Source organism: Homo sapiens, chromosome 2, assembly GCF_000001405.40.
Source record: "Homo sapiens chromosome 2, GRCh38.p14 Primary Assembly".
Classification (NCBI taxonomy): Eukaryota; Metazoa; Chordata; class Mammalia; order Primates; family Hominidae; genus Homo; species Homo sapiens.
The window spans coordinates 64895720-64914551 of NC_000002.12; the positions used below are offsets into that span (position 1 = coordinate 64895720).

The 18832-nt window shown below is 46.5% G+C and overlaps 1 long non-coding RNA gene, 1 other non-coding gene and 1 pseudogene across 2 annotated transcripts in view, besides 3 other annotated features; all 3 read right to left on the reverse strand.

The window, feature by feature from the left end:
- Positions 1-6120: 6120 nt before the first annotated feature.
- The window catches only part of LINC02245 (long intergenic non-protein coding RNA 2245), a 30608-nt gene continuing 17896 nt past the window's right edge, over positions 6121-18832 (reverse strand). Inside the window, exons 2-3 of the long non-coding RNA NR_036586.1 lie at positions 9272-9416; positions 6121-8901 (exon numbers count right to left, since the gene is read on the reverse strand). This is a non-coding gene — a long non-coding RNA (long intergenic non-protein coding RNA 2245). The remainder of the gene's footprint in view (positions 8902-9271; positions 9417-18832) is intronic.
- Positions 8389-8583: a silencer, noted in NCBI's record as "fragment chr2:65131242-65131436 (GRCh37/hg19 assembly coordinates)". NCBI's record gives its function as "represses an EF-1alpha promoter that drives an FKBP-Casp9 reporter gene in an ReSE screen in phorbol 12-myristate 13-acetate-treated (for megakaryocytic differentiation) K562 erythroleukemia cells {active_cell/tissue: K562(+PMA)}" and the evidence as "EXISTENCE:reporter gene assay evidence [ECO:0000049][PMID:32094911]".
- Positions 8776-9070: an enhancer, noted in NCBI's record as "tiled region #15627; HepG2 Activating non-DNase unmatched - State 4:PromP". NCBI's record gives its function as "activates a minimal TATA promoter and a strong SV40 promoter by Sharpr-MPRA in HepG2 cells {active_cell/tissue: HepG2}" and the evidence as "EXISTENCE:reporter gene assay evidence [ECO:0000049][PMID:27701403]".
- RN7SL211P (RNA, 7SL, cytoplasmic 211, pseudogene) lies at positions 11144-11419 on the reverse strand (annotated as a pseudogene).
- Positions 12868-12967, reverse strand: LOC124906172 (small nucleolar RNA U13). The gene has a single exon (XR_007088759.1). It is a non-coding gene; the product is annotated as a small nucleolar RNA U13 (small nucleolar RNA).
- Positions 15677-15726: an enhancer, noted in NCBI's record as "active region_15912". NCBI's record gives its function as "activates an Ori minimal core promoter by ATAC-STARR-seq in GM12878 lymphoblastoid cells {active_cell/tissue: GM12878}" and the evidence as "EXISTENCE:reporter gene assay evidence [ECO:0000049][PMID:35858748]".

Below are 18832 nucleotides of genomic sequence, written 5' to 3' on the forward strand. Positions count from 1 at the left end.
ACCAAAACAGCATGGTACTGGTACCAAAACAGAGATATAGACCAATGGAAAGAACAGAGCCCTCAGAAGTAATACCACACATCTACAACCATCTGATCTTTGACAAACCTGACAAAAACAATCAATGGGGAAAGGATTCCCTATTTAATAAATGGTGCTGGGAAAACTAGCTAGCCATATGTAGAAAGCTGAAACTGGATCCCTTCCTTACACCTTATACAAAAATTAATTCAAGATGGATTAATTTAAAGACTTAAATGTTAGACCTAAAACCATAAAAACCCTAGAAGAAAACCTAGGCAATACCATTCAGGACATAGGCAAGGGCAAGGACTTCATGTCTAAAACACCAAAAGCAATGGCAACAAAAACCAAAATTGACAAATGGGATCTAATTAAACTAAAGAGCTTCTGCACAGCAAAAGAAACTACTATCAGAGTGAACAGGCAACCTACAGAATGGGAGAAAATTTTTGCAATCTACCCATCTGACAAAGGGCTAATATCCGGAATCTACAAAGAACTCAATCAAATTTACAAGAAAAAAAAAATCAAACAACCCCATCAAAAAGTGGGCAAAGGATATGAACAGACACTTCTCAAAAGAAGACATGTTCATCATCACTGGCCATCAGAGAAATGCAAATCAAAACCACAATGAGATACCATCTCACACCAGTTACAATGGTGATCATTAAAAAGTCAGGAAACAACAGGTGCTGGAGAGGATGTGCAGAAATAGGAACACTTTTACACTGTTGGTGGGACTGTGATCTAGTTCAACCATTGTGGAAGACAGTGTGGCGATTCCTCAAGGATCTAGAACTAAAATACCATTTGACCCAGCCATCCCATTACTGGGTATATAACCAAAGGATTATAAATCATGCTGTTATAAAGACACACGCACATGTATGTTTACTGCAGCACCATTCACAATAGCAAAGACTTGGAACCAACCCAAATGTCCAACAATAATAGACTGGATTAAGAAAATGTGGCACATATACACCATGGAATACTATGCAGCCATAAAAAAGGATGAGTTCATGTCCTTGGTAGGGACATGGATGAAGCTGGAAGCCATCATTCTGAGCAAACTATCGCAAGGACAGAAAACCAAACACTGCATGTTCTCACTCATAGGTGGCAATTGAACAATGATAACACTTGGACACAGGATGGGGAACATCACACACCGGGGCCTGTCCTGGGGTGGGGGGAGGGGGGAGGGATAGCATTAGGAGATATACCTAATGTAAATGACGAGTTAATGGGTGCAGCACACCAACATGGCAGATGTATACATACGTAACAAACCTGCACGTTGTACACATGTTCCCTAGAACTTAAAGTATAATAGTAATAATAATAATAATAAAAAGAAGAGTCTCCATTCCTCCTCCTGAGGAACCGTAAGGGCCATGATGACTCCCGTTCCAGGTAACTTTAGCTGTAAAGAGCTGTGCTTTGTAAAAGAGATGGTGGCTCTCAGTTTGCTAAGTAGGTCCCTTCCTAGCAAAGGCAAGGGGCAGTCAGGCATGTACAGGAACCGGTGAATCACTTCATGCCCCCACTATGGTACAGGTCCGGGGCTAACAGAAAGCTTGCTTTGCCGAAACCCCTGTGGCTCCAATTATATCAATAGTCTTTTTGGATAAGGGGGTGACGGGGTGGCCATTACTGAATGTTAAGCACCAGTATCGACTAGGAACTCAATGTCCTTGCCCCCAGACTGTCATCCTGACCATGGGCTCTTTGGGGGCACATGAACCTGGTCCCCCTCCATCCAGTAACCCTTCTGCCAGATTGAACAAGGCTCCTTCATCCTTGCCTTAGGCCTCATGCTCAGAGTCACCTTGTTTCCCTTTCAACTGGGGGCACTTGTCCTTCCAATGTCCTTTACAGTAAGCACACTGATTACGCTGCAAGCGTAGATGGCCAGACTGGGTATTTTTCTTGGGGCCCCCTTCTCTCGCCCTTTGGAGGGACCCCTCTAATAGCTGCAGCTAGCAGGTCGGTGTTTCGCCGGGCTTGCTGTTTGCTCTCTGCAGTTCTCTCTGCGGCTTACTGCAGCTCTATTTACAAACACCTGGTTGGCTATCTCCAATAACTGTGACGTATTCATGCCTGCAAACCCAGCCTGTTTCTGCAATTTTCTTCTAATGTCTTCTGTACTTTGACTAAAGCCATGTTAATCATATGCTGATTTTCAGGGCTATTGGGATCAAAGGGAGTATACATACGATAGGCCTTACGTAGAATAGTCTCTTGTAGAATTGTGCCAGGCTCTCATCTTTCCCTTAAGTGACCTCAGAGACTTTGTTAACATTTGTGGCCTTCTGAGCTCCCTTCTTTAACCCTTCCAGAAGGGCTTCCCTGTACCGGTTTAGCCTTTGCATACCCTTTCATTTGGGTCCCACTGGGGGTCTGTTCCTGGTAATTGGATCCTCACATACTCTTGGGGGTTTTGGCAATCAGCTGGAACATGTTCTTCCAGCCACTTAGTTGCTGCTTGGAGCACTCTCCTCCTTTCATCTGTGTTAAAGAGGTACATAAGCAACCGGTGGCAATCAGCCCAGGTGGGGTTGTGGGTCTGGATAATAGTTTGGAGCAAATCAATTATAGCTTGAGGCTTTTCGGTATAGGATGGGGTATTGTTTTTCCAATTGAGGAGATTGGTAGAGGTGAAGGGCTGGTACACAAAGGCATGCCTTTCCACCATATGCCCGTCCTCATCTACCCTAGTATACCATTGCTCTCTCAGAGGCATTTGTATCCCAGTTCTAGGCCTCAAACGGGCTGCCAAGGGAGGGGTTTCTCCCGAGGTCTCGCATCCTTTCTTTTCTACTCTGGGTGGCCTAGGGGTATATAGGCCTTGTGGAGGCCTTCCTTCTTGATGAAAGGGTGGGGGGGCACTAGCATTGTTTCTCTTATGTTGGGTCGGACAGAACTTTAGGAGCCTACTCCCTTCAGTGGGTGGAGCGGAATTCTTCCTTGGCTGTCTGTCCCTTTGCCACTAGTACTTCTACGTCTGTCCTCTTAACCACGGTGCAGGGGTCTAAAACCAGCTGTAACCAAGTGTCTATGTACAGAAACTGGTCTAGGTATCCTTTACCAGTTACCTTGTGCCACACCTTTGAAACAAGGGAGCTGTCTAGACTTCCTTCTGATGGCCAACCCACTTCTAATGCCGGCCACTCTATCTCACACAAAGTTTTCCTGGTGTCATAGTAACTCCATAGTCTCCACTAAATCCTTCCTTGAAATTTTCCAACATAGTTCCTAGCGGAGTGGGCGCTTACTTTGCGTTGCACCCATCTTCCTCCCGAGACAAAACAACACTCCCACCACAAGAAGGAAAGGGTAAAGGGGTCACTCACTTGTCTCGCCCATCTTAAACTCAAGCACTCACTCACTTTCACTTTCCTTTTTGCAAACGAGTCAAGCCAAATCAAAATCAATACTGAGACCAAAGTGCTGATAAGGGCACACCGTGGTTGATCAGGCCTCGCTTCCATTCAAATGGAGTGGGCAAATTCCCAGAACCAGCCTGTTAAGCAATTCAAACCAAGTCAAGAATCAAAACCAAAACCAAAGTGCCGACAAAGGTGGGCTGTGGGTGATCAGGCCACGCTTCCACTCAAATCGAGTGGGCAAGTTCCCAGGACCGGGCCTACCGTATTCCAGATGTCCAGACTCCAAGCGCCAGTTCCTTCCCGGTGTTCGGCTGCTGCATTGATCCTCCGCGGGGGCCTGCAGTGCACTGCTCTGACGAGGCGTTCCACCGAGGCAAATGCCTACCCTGGAGCGCTCTCAGGATCCGCATCGCTCAAGCTGGCCGGAGTCCCCCGTAGGAATACTTCCCAGGGCAAGCCTAAGCTGCCTAAGGGGCTGCCTCGACCGTCCATCAACCACCTCTCTTCCTGGTCAGGGAACCAAGAAATGAAGCAGGACAGCCGCGGACAAAACCCCTCAGACACCCGGCTACGAAGGATTTGGCTTTATTGGGCTGTGAGCCTCGGCAGACTCGCGTCTCAACGGCGGGGAGTTTTGGCAGACTCGCGTCTCAAGAACCGAGCTCCAGGAAGCCAGAGTTTTAAGGCCTTACAACTCTAAGGGGTTCCATGTGAAAGGGTCGTGATAGATTGAGAGCACATGCGGTTAGAGTCGGGGGTTAATCTTTTAACCTCAGGCCTGGTCATCAGTGGCACTGGCTGGTCTTGCCACTGACTTCATTCCTGTTGTTTTTCAACTTTTACTTCCTCCTTCTCTTCAGAGACAGGAGACAGTAAGAGAAATGGCCTCTCTCCTCATTATGACGTGTAAATATTGCCCAACTTTCTACAAGGGACCCTTCTTCTGGCCCTTCACTGACTCATTAATCCTAAAGGAGGAAAACCCATAATAATTGCTTATTTCTTTCATAGCACTCAGAAAAATCAAGGCCAGGCGCAGAGGCTCGTGCCTGTAATCCCAGCACTTTGGGAGGCCAAGGCAGGTAGATCGCTTGAGCCCAAGAGTTCAAGACCATCCTGGGCAACACAGTGAGACCCTGTCTTTACAAAAAATACAAAAATTAGCTGGGTGTGATGGTGCGTGCCTGTGTTCCCAGCTACTAAGGATGGTGAGGTGGGAGGATCGCTGGAGCCCAGGAGGCGGGGATTGCAGTGAGCCAAGCTCATACCACTGTACTCCAGCCTAGGTGACAGAGTGAGACTCTATCTCAAGAAAAAAAAAACTTAATGAAAAATCAATAAATTAGTTGGCTCAATGAATACAAAATTTGTTTTGTTTTGTTTTTTTCAGATGGAGTCTCACTCTGTCACCCAGGCTGGAGTGCAGTGGCACAATCTCGGCTCACTGCAACCTCTGCCTCCTGGGTTCAAGTGATTCTCCTGCCTCAGCCTCCCAAGTAGCTGGGACTATGGGCGTGTGCCACCACGCCCGGCTAATTTTTGTATTTTTAGTGGAGACAAGGTTTAGCCATGTTTGCCAGGCTAGTCTTGAACCCCTGACCTCAAGTGATCTGCCCGCCTTGGCCTCCCAAAGTGCTGGGATTACAGGCATAAGTCACCACGTCCAGCCCCCAGTGAATACAAAATTCAACAAATGTTAGTCAAAGGCTCTTACGGAAAAGGCTTGTTGCAAGACTGGCGGATGACATGCTAATGCTAGTGTCCTCCTAGAAGATGCACACTTGGCACCATATAGGTCAGTTCCAACCAGAAGTTGATTTCTGGACCCCAGGGGCACTTGTGTTTAGTAGCTTTCTCTATGAAGCCCAGTAACTATGTCCACTGTTATGTAAATCTCTTCCAAACTTTGGGTTCAGTGACTTCACATTGGTAGCCTGAAACTGGCCATGCGATGAGTTATTTACACCACAGGAATTGGCAAACACCATAAATCAGCTCATCACTGCATTGAATTCCTCGAGTTGAGGTGGTGTCTGTAAGTTCAGTCTCACACCACAAGCTGAGGGGCACTCACTGGGTCAGCAGAGATATTTGAGCCTTTAAGGAGTTATAGCACCAGGGGCATTTGCCCCTGCTCTGCTGGACACACGTCCTTGCAACAGTGTCCATTTCCATGTGGCTGTCTTTGGGTATGTCTGACCTGCTAGGAGGTTCTTCTTGCTCCTGTTTCAGCAGTCAGTCCATCTTCCAGACACTGGACAAACCTCTCCGTGGTTTCTCCGTGGCTGGAGTTAGGCTTAGAGTTGAAGCTCACAGGGGCTGAGTCAAGGTGAGAATGAAACAGACACAAAAGCCCAACAAAAGAGGAAAACAATGCATATTTGATAACCGAAAAGGGGGCGGAGATGGGCTTTTTCTTAATTTTTGACTGAAATTATTGGCATGGTTGAATTCATAGTCTTCCTCCCCACCTCCAGCTCTCCTGGCAGAATTCTATAGCCACTAGCACAGTCTCACTTCTTTTCTCTTCAACTGTCCTTATGAGGCTTAGCACACCTTGTAATAAAGACCAGGCAAGAGAAGACCGGGGAAGGGAGAACAGAAAACCAGCTTGCCTAGGAAGCAAAGAACACCATTTGAGGAGGGAGGTGGAGGTGCTAGAGCAGCTATGGGGTACGAGAGAAGTAGATGGAGGAAGACGGGGGATTAAACGCATTGTTTTATTATTCTCTGAATAGGTAATATATGCACATGGTACACAATTACAGAGGTCTCCCACCTCCCCTCATCTGTGCACCCAGCAGCCCCATTTCCTCCCTAGAAATAGCCTATGCCATCAGTTCTTCACATATCTCAGGGATTCCTGAGAATATTCCACCTCAAGGGCTCGCAGGCTTCCCTGGATGAGAATCACCTGGAGGGCCTGTGCAAGGACTGCTACCACCAGCCCCTGGGGGTTCTTTTCTGATTCAAAGGCTCTGGTGAATTTGCCTTTTCTTTTCCTTTCTTTTTTCTTTTCTTTTCTTTCTTTCTTTTTCTTTCTTTCTCTCTTTCTCCTTTCTTTCTTTCTCCCTCTCTCTCTCTCTTCTTTCTTCGGTGGAGTTTCGCTCTTGTTACCCAGGCTGGAGTGCAGTGGTGCAATCTCGGCTCACCGCAACCTCTGCCTCCCGGGTTCAAGCGATTCTCCTGCCTCAGCCTCCCAAGCAGCTGGGATTACAGGCATGCGCCACCACACCTGGCTTTTTGTATTTTTAGTAGAGACAGGGTTTCTCCATGTTGGTCAGGCTGGTCTCAAACTCCCAACCTCAGGTGATCCACCCACCTCGGACTCCCAAAGTGCTAGGGTTACAGGCGTGAGCCACTGCACCCAGCCTGGGAATCTGCATTTCTAACAAGTTCCCAGGTGATGCCGATGCTGCTGGCCCAGGGATTACACTTTGAGAACCACAGTTGTGGAGGTATTCACAGAAACCCTTTCAATACTCTCTCTCTCTCTCTCTGAAGTAATTTGAGTATCTGTGTCTGGCAATGGAAATGCCTCTAAGACAGCATTAATACAGCACAATTCCTTCCTGTGGGCCTTCCCTATGCTGGACTCTTCATCTGGAATACTCTCATCCCTCACCTCCACATGTCCAAGGCCCAGTTCAATGGCCATTTCCTCCAGGAAGTCTTCCTTGGTTCTCTCCCTATACTGCAAGAAGTCTTATGCTCCTTTAAATTTCCATAGGAGTGTTTGTCTGCATTCTTCTAAGGGTACCTGTTATTTATTAGAACAGTATATAAAAAATGGGGCTCTCTTTGCCTCAATTTTTATAATTTTTGTTAAAGAGATATCAGATCCCAAAATAAGTCTGAAGGAGACCATCAAATGTAGTATTTACGTTTCAAGATTCTTGGTCCTCCCTCCCCTGGTCAGCTTGGGGTCTATAGAATGGTTGAGGTAATTTTTGGATGATTTCTTGGGAGAGTGCTATGCTGTAAGCCTACAAGAGGAAAGGAGAAATTAAATGGAGCTGTCACTTCCATACTCCAGAGCCTAGAGAGCCTGGGTTTCAGTGGCCACTTGAGAGCTTGATGAGGGTTCTCTGTAACTGGGGGAATCCGGGGACCAGTTTCTGAGACAGTGGAAGCAGCCTGGGGCCAGGCAGAGAGAGAGGAGGAATTGCCCTCCACCAAAGGCAGAGCAAGGGGAGCGTTGTTGCTTCTTGAGGACCAGTGGAAAGTCTCCAAGGCAGCCATTGTGGGGGCATCTGAAATCCCACCCAATATAGCCGGGCTGGTAGGGGCTGTGTGGTGACCTCAGCTGAAAGGAAGTGTGAGGTGAACTTCACATTCCCATGGCTCCACATGGCAGAGTCCTGGGAATGGTGGACAAGACCCCAGTTTGGGGGATCTCTGAGGAACACCCAAAACACCCATAATCACAAGAGTCACCTTTACTCACCTGCCATCCAGAGGACCTTGAGATTTGGAGACAAGGGCACCACCTTGTGATTTTACCCTTTCTCCTATGGGCAGGAAGCTCATTCACCTGCCGGTGGGAAAAGGAGGGGTTGGGGGAGAGAGAGTGAGAGAGAAAAGCTACCCCATCTCCCTTCTCAGGTGGCTGGGGAGATGGAAGAACATGTAATGCCACATCAAGTTCAAAGCCTTGATTATGATATAACACTGGGCATTCTCCTGAAAGGAGACAGTGGTTGTAACTCAGAGGGGCAAAGGACTATAAGACTGCTGTTTCCTAAAGGTGGCAAGACAGGGCATAGCCCTGCTGAAGTTTCATCAGGGGCAGGCAAAGTCATTCCTGTTATTGTTATGCACCATGTTTGCTTAAAGTTTCACACACACACTGCATAAGCTTTTTCTTTCCCTCACTATGTCATGAACTCCCTGATATCCTGGCATGTAACACCTCTGTGGCCCTTTTGGTGCCTAGCATGCCTAGCACCATACCTGGCACATACAAGTCTACAGCTGATAGTTGCCCATTTATTCATTGATCCTTGCTTTCAACATGTATTGAGAGCCCATGTTGGGTGGTAGCAAGAGAGCAGGAAATGAAATGCATGTGACTTGTGTTCCAGGAGCTTGCTGTCTGCAGGGGAGGTGTATGAGAAGTGTCTGCAGAGCCTCACCCCACTCCAAGGGGAGCAAATTCAAGCCCACGGGCACCAGGCAGGAGCGTGAATAAGGGAGGCAGTCTCTAACTGCGACACCTTGGGCAAGTCTAAGACGATAAACGTGTTGGCAATTCTGGCAGAACAGGGCATCCACCGTGCCCCTCGGAAGGTGGCAGCTGTTCTTTATTGCCTTCTGAGAATCCAAAACGACTGTTGCCAGATTGCCTGCTTCTCCAAAAGAGTTTGAAATCTGGAGTTGCATGTAAAATGTCACCAAAAAAAACCACATCTGTAGGTTCCTTCAGTCCAAGGGTCACGGTCCGGGGCCACTGTGCTGTTGTTGGCTCTCTCCCCCGGTGTTCCTGTTTATAAAGAGGGGGTGCCAGTCATTGTGAGCCACGTGCTGCTTCTTTAGGAATTAATTAGTCAGGGATTTGGAGCAGCTTTATACAAAGAACTTAGCTGTGTGAAAACACTCCTTGGCCCAAAGAAGAAATATTTTTAAAATCCCAACCCTAAGTGCTTAATCTGCTAAAATGTACAACAAATAAAAATAACGCTTGGAAAAGAGCTTGCTTCCTCTTTCAGAAGAGCCCCTGTGGCCTCTACAGTCTGACTACAGGGAAGGGGCCTTTTCTGCCAGTGGTATGACAACAAGCCACAGACTTACCAAACCAAGTCAGAATTTGAAAGGAACTAGTTGACAGGTGGCATTCACTGCAGCTTTATTACCTGGAAAATAGTTGCGTCCGTTGGAGATGTAGTGACAGCTTCTAGGGCTGATCCCCCATGGTGGGGCTGTCCTTTGAGCTCCTGCTCGGACACTGCTGGGATCCAAAGGCCCAGGAGCCAGACTGTAAATGGAGCTGGAGAAGTCCTAGGAGACAACACAGCAGGCAGCCCAGGACAGTTGGCTACCTGACACATGTCTCCATGTTCTGGGTCCTGTTCTGGGGACAGTCCCAGAGGTAGCAATCTATACAAATATAATGTATGACTGCCTTGAGGTGCAAATAAGGCCATGTTTCTCATTTTTATCATTAACTCCCATCTACCTTTATAAGCAGGAAATCTGATCATCTAAACATCCCTTTAAACCTCCTAAGAATCCTAAGCACTTGGTTCCAGGAAGTCAGTACTGTGTCTGCAGGTCTGATGGAGAGAATGGGGAAGCTCCCCTGACGATTGTTTCAGTGGCTGCCACAAGGTGTTGTTGTTGGAGACTGTTTTTGTGCAGACCTGCACACAGCTGCCCTACACTTTGGGCGGAGGCCCTTGCTGGTGCAGGCAGGTCTTTGCCAGCCCACAGTAGTGCTACATGCCTGGCAGTGTGAAGAAAGTGCAGGGCTGTAGGCCAGCGCTTGTTGCAGCACAAATTGGAATGGGGAGGGGCCGAGGGTGTGTCTAACCTGATTTCTCAGCTGGCCACCCTGAGATATCAGGCAGGCCACCAGAAATTCTGTTTCCATAAAGATCCCATAACTTTCTAGAAGGGCAGCAAAACTTAGACTGGCCTGCACTAAGAGAAGGCAGTGGGCGTGGTTAAGAGCACAGATTTTGAAATCAGATCTACTTTGGCTCAAATTTTGACCCTTTAATAGCTGTGTGATTTGGGGCAAGTTGTTTAATGTTTCTGGGCATCAGCTTCCTTGTCTATAAAATAAGGATAAAAACACCTATTTTATAGTTTGGAGAGCTAAGCCATGTAAAAAGCTCAGCATCGCGTCTAACCATGCCAGATTCACAATGAAAATGGCCACTGTTCGGGTGAAGGAAAAAACTCCACTGTTGCCCTCTGAAGATTTGCTGAAAATTCGACTCACAAAAGACAGATTCAGTGGAGGAAGAACATACACATTTATTTTATTAGAGTTAACGTGATAAGGGAGGCTTTAGGGTGAAGACCCAACCCCCCAGTGGGGTGTAGAGGCTTATATGGTCTAATTCTTTTTTTTTCTCTAACTTGCTTCAGAGGAAGATACCCTTCTTCTCAGGGGAAAGGGCGATGGGGAAGTGTGGATGATTTTAGAGGAGTAGTAAATGATGTTTAGGGGAATTCAATGGGCTTGAAGAACATACAATGGCCTGGGGCAAAGCTTGTTGGGCCCAGAGAATGGACAATGGTTTGTGACAAAAGTCCATCAGGTGTGTGGGCAGACACTAGTCTTTTTTCCTATAATATGGATTCAGTTAATGAAAACTCAGAGAAGGGGCTAAAGGCAATTCTTTTCATCTTTGGTAGGTGCAGACTTTAGGCAGAAAAGGGAGCTTCAGAGAACAGCGTCCTCCTATGCTTTGGGAGAGATGGGTGGGGAAGGGGAGGTCAGAGAGACCTTGAGGCTCCTTTTTCAGTTCAACATGTACAAATGGCCATATTTTGGGGTATTGGTTTTTGAGCCCCGATACCACTCATAGGTGTTTTATTTAGGCATTAATTGTGCCATTGTTTTTAAAAAAACAAAAGGACCTGTTATAATTTGAAAACTGCAGACAATGAATACATTTTAGCTAGAAATTTTGATAAATTGGATATATTGAATAAGGCTTTCAACCTGTTTTATATATTTTTTTAGTTTTTATTTATTTCTTATTATTATTTTTTTTAGAGACAGCGTCTTGCAATGTTGCCCAGGCTGTAGTACAGTAGCTATTCACAGGTGCAATCCCATTACTGATCAACACAGGAGTTTTGACCTGCTCAGTTTCTGACCTGGGCTGGTTCACTCCTCCTTAGGCAACCTGGTGGCACCCCCGCTCCACTTAGTGCAAACACCTAATGGTCACAGTGTGCTACAGCCCAAGGCTTCTGGGCTCCAGCACTGTTCCCGCCTCAGCCTCTCCAGTAGCTATGACTGCAGGTGTGTGCCCACCACACCCAGCTATATTCTTATTTTTAAAGATCAAAATCATAGAACAAATGTTTACTCTCAAGTCCTATTCAGTGATGACCTTGTGTAGTACTTGACATAGAGTTAAGTTGTCACAGTGTCTGGTTTTTAGCTCTTGTGCTCTTAGACAACATAAATGCAGACAGTCATGGAAGGGCTGCCCAGCCCACGCTACCACCTCTGAGCCCTTACATAAGCTCTGTCAGGTTTACCTTCCTGCTCTGGATTGATTTCTCCATAGAGGACCTTGCCTCCTGCTTTGCTGAAAAATCAGAAGCATGAGGCAGGAACTGCCTCAACTTCCTGCTGCCAAATCTCAAGTCTCCTGAATCCAGCTTCCCATTTTGCCCTCCCCTTGTCCAGGTGGCGCAGTCCCTCAAGGCCAGCGCCCCCACACCCTTTCACCTCTTTCCTCCTGCCTTCTCAGGACACTTGCATTAACCATCACTCCAGATCACTCTGTATTTTCAACCTCACTTTTTCCCGGATTCTTCCAATTGGCATCAGACTACGTTCAAAATTCATTAAAGATAAGAAAGTGAAGATCCTTTTATCCACCACTATTAATTAGGAAGCAGGTTTGACTGCTATAAAGTCCCCAAATAATCAAATCCACTTAAAAAGCTTAAACAAGATGAAAGTTTACTTATTTCTCACATAAGCTGGCAGGGCAATACCTTAGTGGCAGGGAGCTCAGCTTCTTAAGGGTCCTCACTCCACCATTCCTAGGGGTGGCCTTGTCTCCACAGTTCATGATAACTCTCACTGCTGTAAGCAGCATCGGGAAAGAGGGATGGGGAGATGGAGAGCCCTTCCACATGAGGGTGTGACTTCCAATCACCTCCCAACAGGCCAGAATTTAGCAACATGGCCATGCTTAGCTGCAAGGAAGGCTGGGGATCAGCCATTATTCTGGTACCCAGTTGATACCGTTTGGATATTTGTCCCTGCCCAAATCTCATGTTGAAATGTAATCCCCAATGCTGGAGGTGGGGCCTGGTGGGAGGTGTTTTGATCATGGGGGTGGATCCCTCGTGAGTGGCTTGGATCATCTCTTTGGTAATAAGCGAGCTCACACTTTAGTTCACATGAGATCTTTTCTTTATAAATTAATGAACCAATTAAACCTCTTTTCTTTATAAATTACCCAGTCTCAAGTATTTCTTTATAGCAATACAAGAATGCCCTAATATACCAGTTAAACACAGAGACTCTATTAATGTACCAGGAGGGAGAATGGGTATAGGGTACAGCAAGCAAGTCTACTCCTGCACACCTTATCCCCCCTAAGAACAGCCCAATCTCAATTTTCTCCTTCTCACCCCAAGTTTTCAAATGAGTTGTCCACATTCATCATCTCTACTTCCTCTCTGTGTTTGTTTTCCACATAGAAGAGAATTTGCAAAAGTGTTTTGAAGCAAGGGAGAATTTTTTTTCTCATGTCAGATGCATAATGTGCTGACATATAACAATGTTTGAGGGAGGCACATCTCATTCATAAGCGTGAAAACCCAGTCATTATGCATAACTGCAAAAGGATCAGAGAGAATATTATACAAGTTCATTCCTTGAAGGTGGGACTAGGGGTGGGTTGAGCTGCTTAAGAAGACCTGGAAGGCGAGGTCCAGGGAGCTAAGTAAAGCCATGGAAGGAGCTGTTGTTGTCCAGGGATGGGCTGAGTCAAGGAGGCACAACCAGGAGGCAACCCATGCTGGGGGCTGAGAGAATTGGATCGTGTGTGAAACTGAAGGAAGGAGAGGACACACGTGGTAGGAAGAGGGGATCAGACAAGTGTGGGGGAGGCAGATGGGAGGCAGTGAAGGTGCCTTTTAAATTCCTGATCTCATGCTTTGTAAATGTGGTGATGGGGGCACCTTTTCACATGGTACCAACCGTGCTTTCCCAGAATGGGGTAGCTCCTTAAAGAAGACATATACACAGAAGGACGAAATTCTTTTTTTTTTTTTTTTTTTTTGAGTCAGAGTCTTGCTCTGTCACCCAGGCTGGAGTGCAATGGCATGATCTCGGCTCACTGCAACCTCCGCCACCCGGGTTCAAGCGATTCTCCTGTCTCAGCCTCCTAAGTAACTGGGATTACAGGTGCCTGCCACTATACCCAGCTAATTTTTTTGTATTTTGAGTAGAGATGAGGTATCACCATGTTGCCCAGGCTGGTCTTGAACTCCTGACCTCAAGTGATCTGCCCGCCTGGGCCTTCCAAAGTGCTGGGATTACAGGTGTGAGCCACTGCACCTGGCCAACAAAATTCTTGTGTGCATTGATTTTTCTCTACTTAGATCTGTTCATACTTATGCTGTTTATTAGGTAACCCACGCTTGGAGCATTGCGGATGAAACTTATGAAATCTTTGAAAACATAGCCTTTTAGATCAATGCAAAGCACACGTTAAGATAAATCTGGGGTCCAGTTGTGGCAGCTCATGCCTATAATCCCAGCACTTTGGGAGGCCGAGGCGGGCGGATCACCTGAGGTCAGGAGATCGAAACCAGCCTGGCTAACATGGTGAAACCCCGTTTCTACTAAAAATACAAAAAATTAGCTAGGCGGGGTGGTGAGTGCCTGTAATACCAACTACTCAGGAGGCTGAGGCAGGAGAATCGCATGAATCCAGGAGGCGGAGGTTGCAGTGGGCCGAGGTTGCACCATTACACTCCAGCCTGGGCAACAAGAGCAAAATTCCATCTCAAAAAAAAGAAAAAAAAAGAGAGAGAGAGATAAATCTGGATAATTTCTGAGTCACACTGCGAGGGATCAAATCCTGGCTTCTATACGATATACGAATTTGCTCTGCAGCTTTGGGCAAGTGACTTCGCCCCTCTGTTCTTAATTTATAAAGTGGAGATAATAAGAATACATTTAGTTCCAGTAAGGTTGTTGAAACTAACATAAAACCCAATCCAAATGGGCTTTAACAGGAAAAGGGAAATTACAGGCTTATGTAATTCAAAAGATCTAATGGTAGCATTCAGGTGTGGTTTGATCAAGACTCCGGTTCAGTTTCTCTGAGATTTCCTTTGACTTTGATCATAGCAGCAAATTGGGTAGGAACGCAGATTCCCCTTTGCACAGCCTGCCATCTAGGAAAGGATGTTCACACCCAGCATTCCTGTCCGTGGTTCTAAGACTCACTCTAGCTGGACTGGAATGGTGACCACCCACAGAACCTCATTGTGGGCAGGGTTAATGGGCTGAGCCTAGGGCCACACCCCACCCATGGAACCAGGTATGGAATTGGCTTCCCTGGAACCTACTGGACTCCTCTCAGAAGTCAGAGGCTGCTGGGAAGAAGGAAGGGAAAATACAAGCATGGGAAGCAAGCTAGAGGAATTGTTACCGACCACAGGTTCTTAGGCACCCATGCAATAGCAATTGACAGGAGGCCAAACAAGTTTCCCAGACAAGACTTTATGGGCGCTTGTGCTCCAACACAAGGAAACTAGCCCACAAGCAAGAGTTCTTGGCTGGCCCCACTGAGGGGAGTGCATTTCGGTGTCTTAAGGAGGGTGACATGCATAATTCATGAGGTAGGTGAGCCTCACTACATGTGCGGGGTGGAGTACAGGGTGTGCAGGCATGGTAAGGAATCATGCCAACACATACTGTTGTGTGAGCAGAAAATAGCAGATAAGCCCTCCTCTGGGCAGGGATTTTAGTATTATAATGAGGCAAGGGGCAAATATCATTCTTCGGATCTTATGTGCATGCAGGCTGTAGGATTAACTCCCTTGAGTAAGATTTAGGGTGGATGCTGCTTATCTTAGATTCTTCAAGATCGCAAGGTCAGCGGGGATGCGTTAGAGTGATGGTGGTGCAAAGTCTGCTAATTGACAGGTGTGGGAGTGGGGGCCTCATTCCAGTGAGGGCTGAGTCCTGTCCCTATGCTGTCTCACAATCTGCTATATCCATGCACACTGTTTTGACCCATGACTCCTCCCCCAGCAGTTATGGCCTTCTGGTGTCCTAAGTTAACCTTAAAGAAGCAACATAGAGCTAGTTTGTCATGGGAAATTTTGACAGACTCATAAAGGAAAAGACATGATAGGTCACAGCAATGCCATGTCTATACTCATTTCCAAGAACCACATTGTAACCCACATGTGTATTGGTTGTGAAACTCTTAAACTCTTTCTCCAGGGCCAGAGTATGACTTTTGTGGGTCTCCATTTTTGCCTTCATCATCCCTTTCTTCTATAAATAGTACTAAGAACTATATTACTAAGTTGATACTGACAGAGTTCAAGACATAGTATCCACAAATATAGCACGTTGGCATTTGAGAAAACAGCAGAAGCAGGGAGGCCACTCTCACCTTCTCCTCACTCTGCTCCCCTGAAGAGGGCCTTAAGAGAATTATCTGACCTTCCTCCGAAGAAAATCTTCATTCCAGAGATGTCCTTCCTACACCCAAGGAAAGGAATTTCCTTTTCTCTGAAGACACAGGAACACAAAAAAGAATCTAAACAGGACTTGCTAAGTACTTTCCAGTTTAATATCATTAGATCATAGTTTTTTATCCTCCAATCATACTTCTGCATGGCTGTCTATAAAATACACAGTTTTTTCTGTTTCTTTGGGCCTTCATTTCTGAGTGTTCCCATGTTATATAATTTTCTTTTTCTATCTTCTTTTTTTTTTTCTTTTTGAGAGAGAGAGAGTCTCACTCTGTCACCCAGGCTGGAGTGCAGTGACACAATCATAACTCACTGCAGCCTCAACCTCCTTGGCTCAAGTGATCCTCCAACCTCAGCCTCCAAAGTAGCTGGGACTACAGGTGTGCACCACTGCACCTGGCCAATTTTTAAAATTTTTAGTAGAGACAAGGTCTGGCTATGTTACCTGGCTTGCCTTGAACTCCTGGGCTCAAGTGATCCTTCTGCCTTGGCCTCCCAAAGTGCTGGGACTGCAGGCGTGAGCCACCTTGCCCAGCCCACATAAAATTTGTATTAAATAAATTTGTGTGCTTTTCTCTTGTTAATCTGTCTTTTATTATAGGTGCCTCAGCCTCGAACCTTGTGATGAGTGAGAAATCTTTCTCCCCTACGGTATGTCTGTATTAACATTATATATTAAAACATTGTCTTCTAGTTAAAAAAAAATTGAAGCATTTTCATGAGCCACTAAAATTATCATGAACTCTGGGCTCTGCCCCAGCTGTGCCTGATGGATGGGTCCACCCTGCCTTTATTCCCAATGCACTACAGGAGAAAAGTTTCAATGTGCACCTTGCCGAGAATTTCATCTTCTTTATGTTGCCCATGGCATTTTCTGAGCAGCTTTCCTGGAGCTCTGTCTGCCATCTTGCTTATGAAAACCCCAAGTTGTGTAATGGTTACCTGACAGAATGGGAATCCAGATCTCCTTCAGGATACAGCAGGATGGAGGCCTGCAGAGATGGCCTGAAAATAAGTAGCTGGATCCTAAAAGAGTGGAAAGGCAAGTGTTCTGTGCAGTGTTCAGGCATTGAAGCCGTCCTCTTAGTGAATGAGGAAAGAGGAAGAACCCTAAAATGATCCCAATGGCCTGCACACCTTCCTTCCTTCTGTTAAGTTTCTATGATCATGAGTAGGTTCATCCTTTTATTAAAAAGTTTAATAAGCCAGGCATGGTAGCTCACGCCTGTAATCCCAGAACTTTGGGAGGAGAAGGCAGGTGGATCCTTTGAGCGTAGGAGTTTGAGACCACCCTGGGCAACAAAGTGAGACCCTGTCTCTTTGAAAAAAAGAAGTTTAACCAATCTTGGCAGGTTAAGTTATGCTGTGGTAACAAACGACGCCAAAATCTCAGTGCTTAGAACCACAAAGATTTATTTTGTATCCATCCTACATGCCCTTCTTGGGGTGGCTAGGGACTGTCCTCCATGTCCTCCTTACTCAGGGAGCCTAGCGGATGGAGTGGCGCCGTCTGGAACCGGGACAGCAGTAGTGGCAGGAAGAAGGAAAATGTGGCAAATTGCAAATTGGTTGGTGAGCCTGCCACTGGGAAGTGACCTGTGTCACTTCCACTCGCTTTTCTTTGGCCTCCAACACTGATTCAGAAGGCGGGGAAGTACGATTTCACCATGCTTCCAGGGGGGCAGAATAAGAATATGCAGTGGCCAGCCTCAATGATTGCTGCAATAATTTTCATCTTTTTTTTTCTTTATCCTTTCATTCTTACAAAACTTGCACATGGTAACCAATAGCTCCATTCTAGGGTGAAGGAAAGAGCCTGAGTCTCTGCTGTGGCTGGGGACAGGAAATGCACCCACCTGCCAAGCTGCTGGTGACACCTGGTGGCAGCCAGGAAGCCCCAGACTCCTGAGGGAGGAGCAGTGTCCCTATTCTCCGGCCCCCAGGTGAGAGTTCCCAGCACTGGCTGGCCTGCTGGGCTGAGCAGGTATCTGGGGATGAGGACTTAGGAGTATGAAGGCCAAGGGCTCCCTGGGAGGGAAGAGAAGGTTTCTCCAGAGATGTTCACAGGGCGTGGGATCTCTAGGTAGTAAAAGGAATGCAACCTGGCTTCTTGCTCCCAGAAGGTGAAGCCAGACGTATTGTGATGTGTGGCAATCTAAATGACAAAATACTTTGTGGACACGGTTGGGAAGTACAGATAATGACATTACATCATGTCCATTACATAAACGAAGTGAAAAAAAGGTAGATACAAAAATAAGACTACAAATGACAGTTTGAAAAGAATGTTGTGTGTGTGTGTGTGTGTGTGTGTGTGTGTGTGTGTGTAGCAGGTATGAATAAGTCCACAAACTATATGGGCAAGACATATTTGATTCCTTTATTTCCTTTTAATCAACTTAGTCCTGCCTCTGAGCTCTCATTCATCCTGATAAAAATTTGTCCCCAGTTATTTTTAGGGTTTCCCACTGCCATGGTTGTGCTGGGGTCTCTCGTCCATAGCTGCAAAACACTGGCATTCTCCTGTGATTTTTGAGTCCATGGATACAGCCTTCTTCCACTCCACACAGTCCGTGGAAGCCCCCCATCTGGCTGGGGTACACGAATCAATCTTGGTGGGCCCGGAGACTCGATTCCTCAGAGGCACCCTCTGCAGCGTCACCCCGGAAGTCTTGCCACACCACCCACCCCCCATTCTCACCTCTCCTTTCTGCCTTCTTCCTTCTCTCCCACCTGCCCCTCAGAACACATACTCTTGAATGAGTTTAAGTTTTTCAAGAGGAAGAAGTACATCAGCCTTGCTGAAATAATCGAATAAGGGGATACCAGCAACATGGAAACCAGAAACCAGCCTGGACAACCTGGTGAAACCCCGTCTCTACTAAAAAAAAAAAAAAAATTTCAAAAATTAGCCGGGTGTGGTGATGCGTGCTCATAGTCCCAGCTACTCAGGAGGCTGAAGCACGAAAATTGCTTAAACCCGGGAGGCGGAG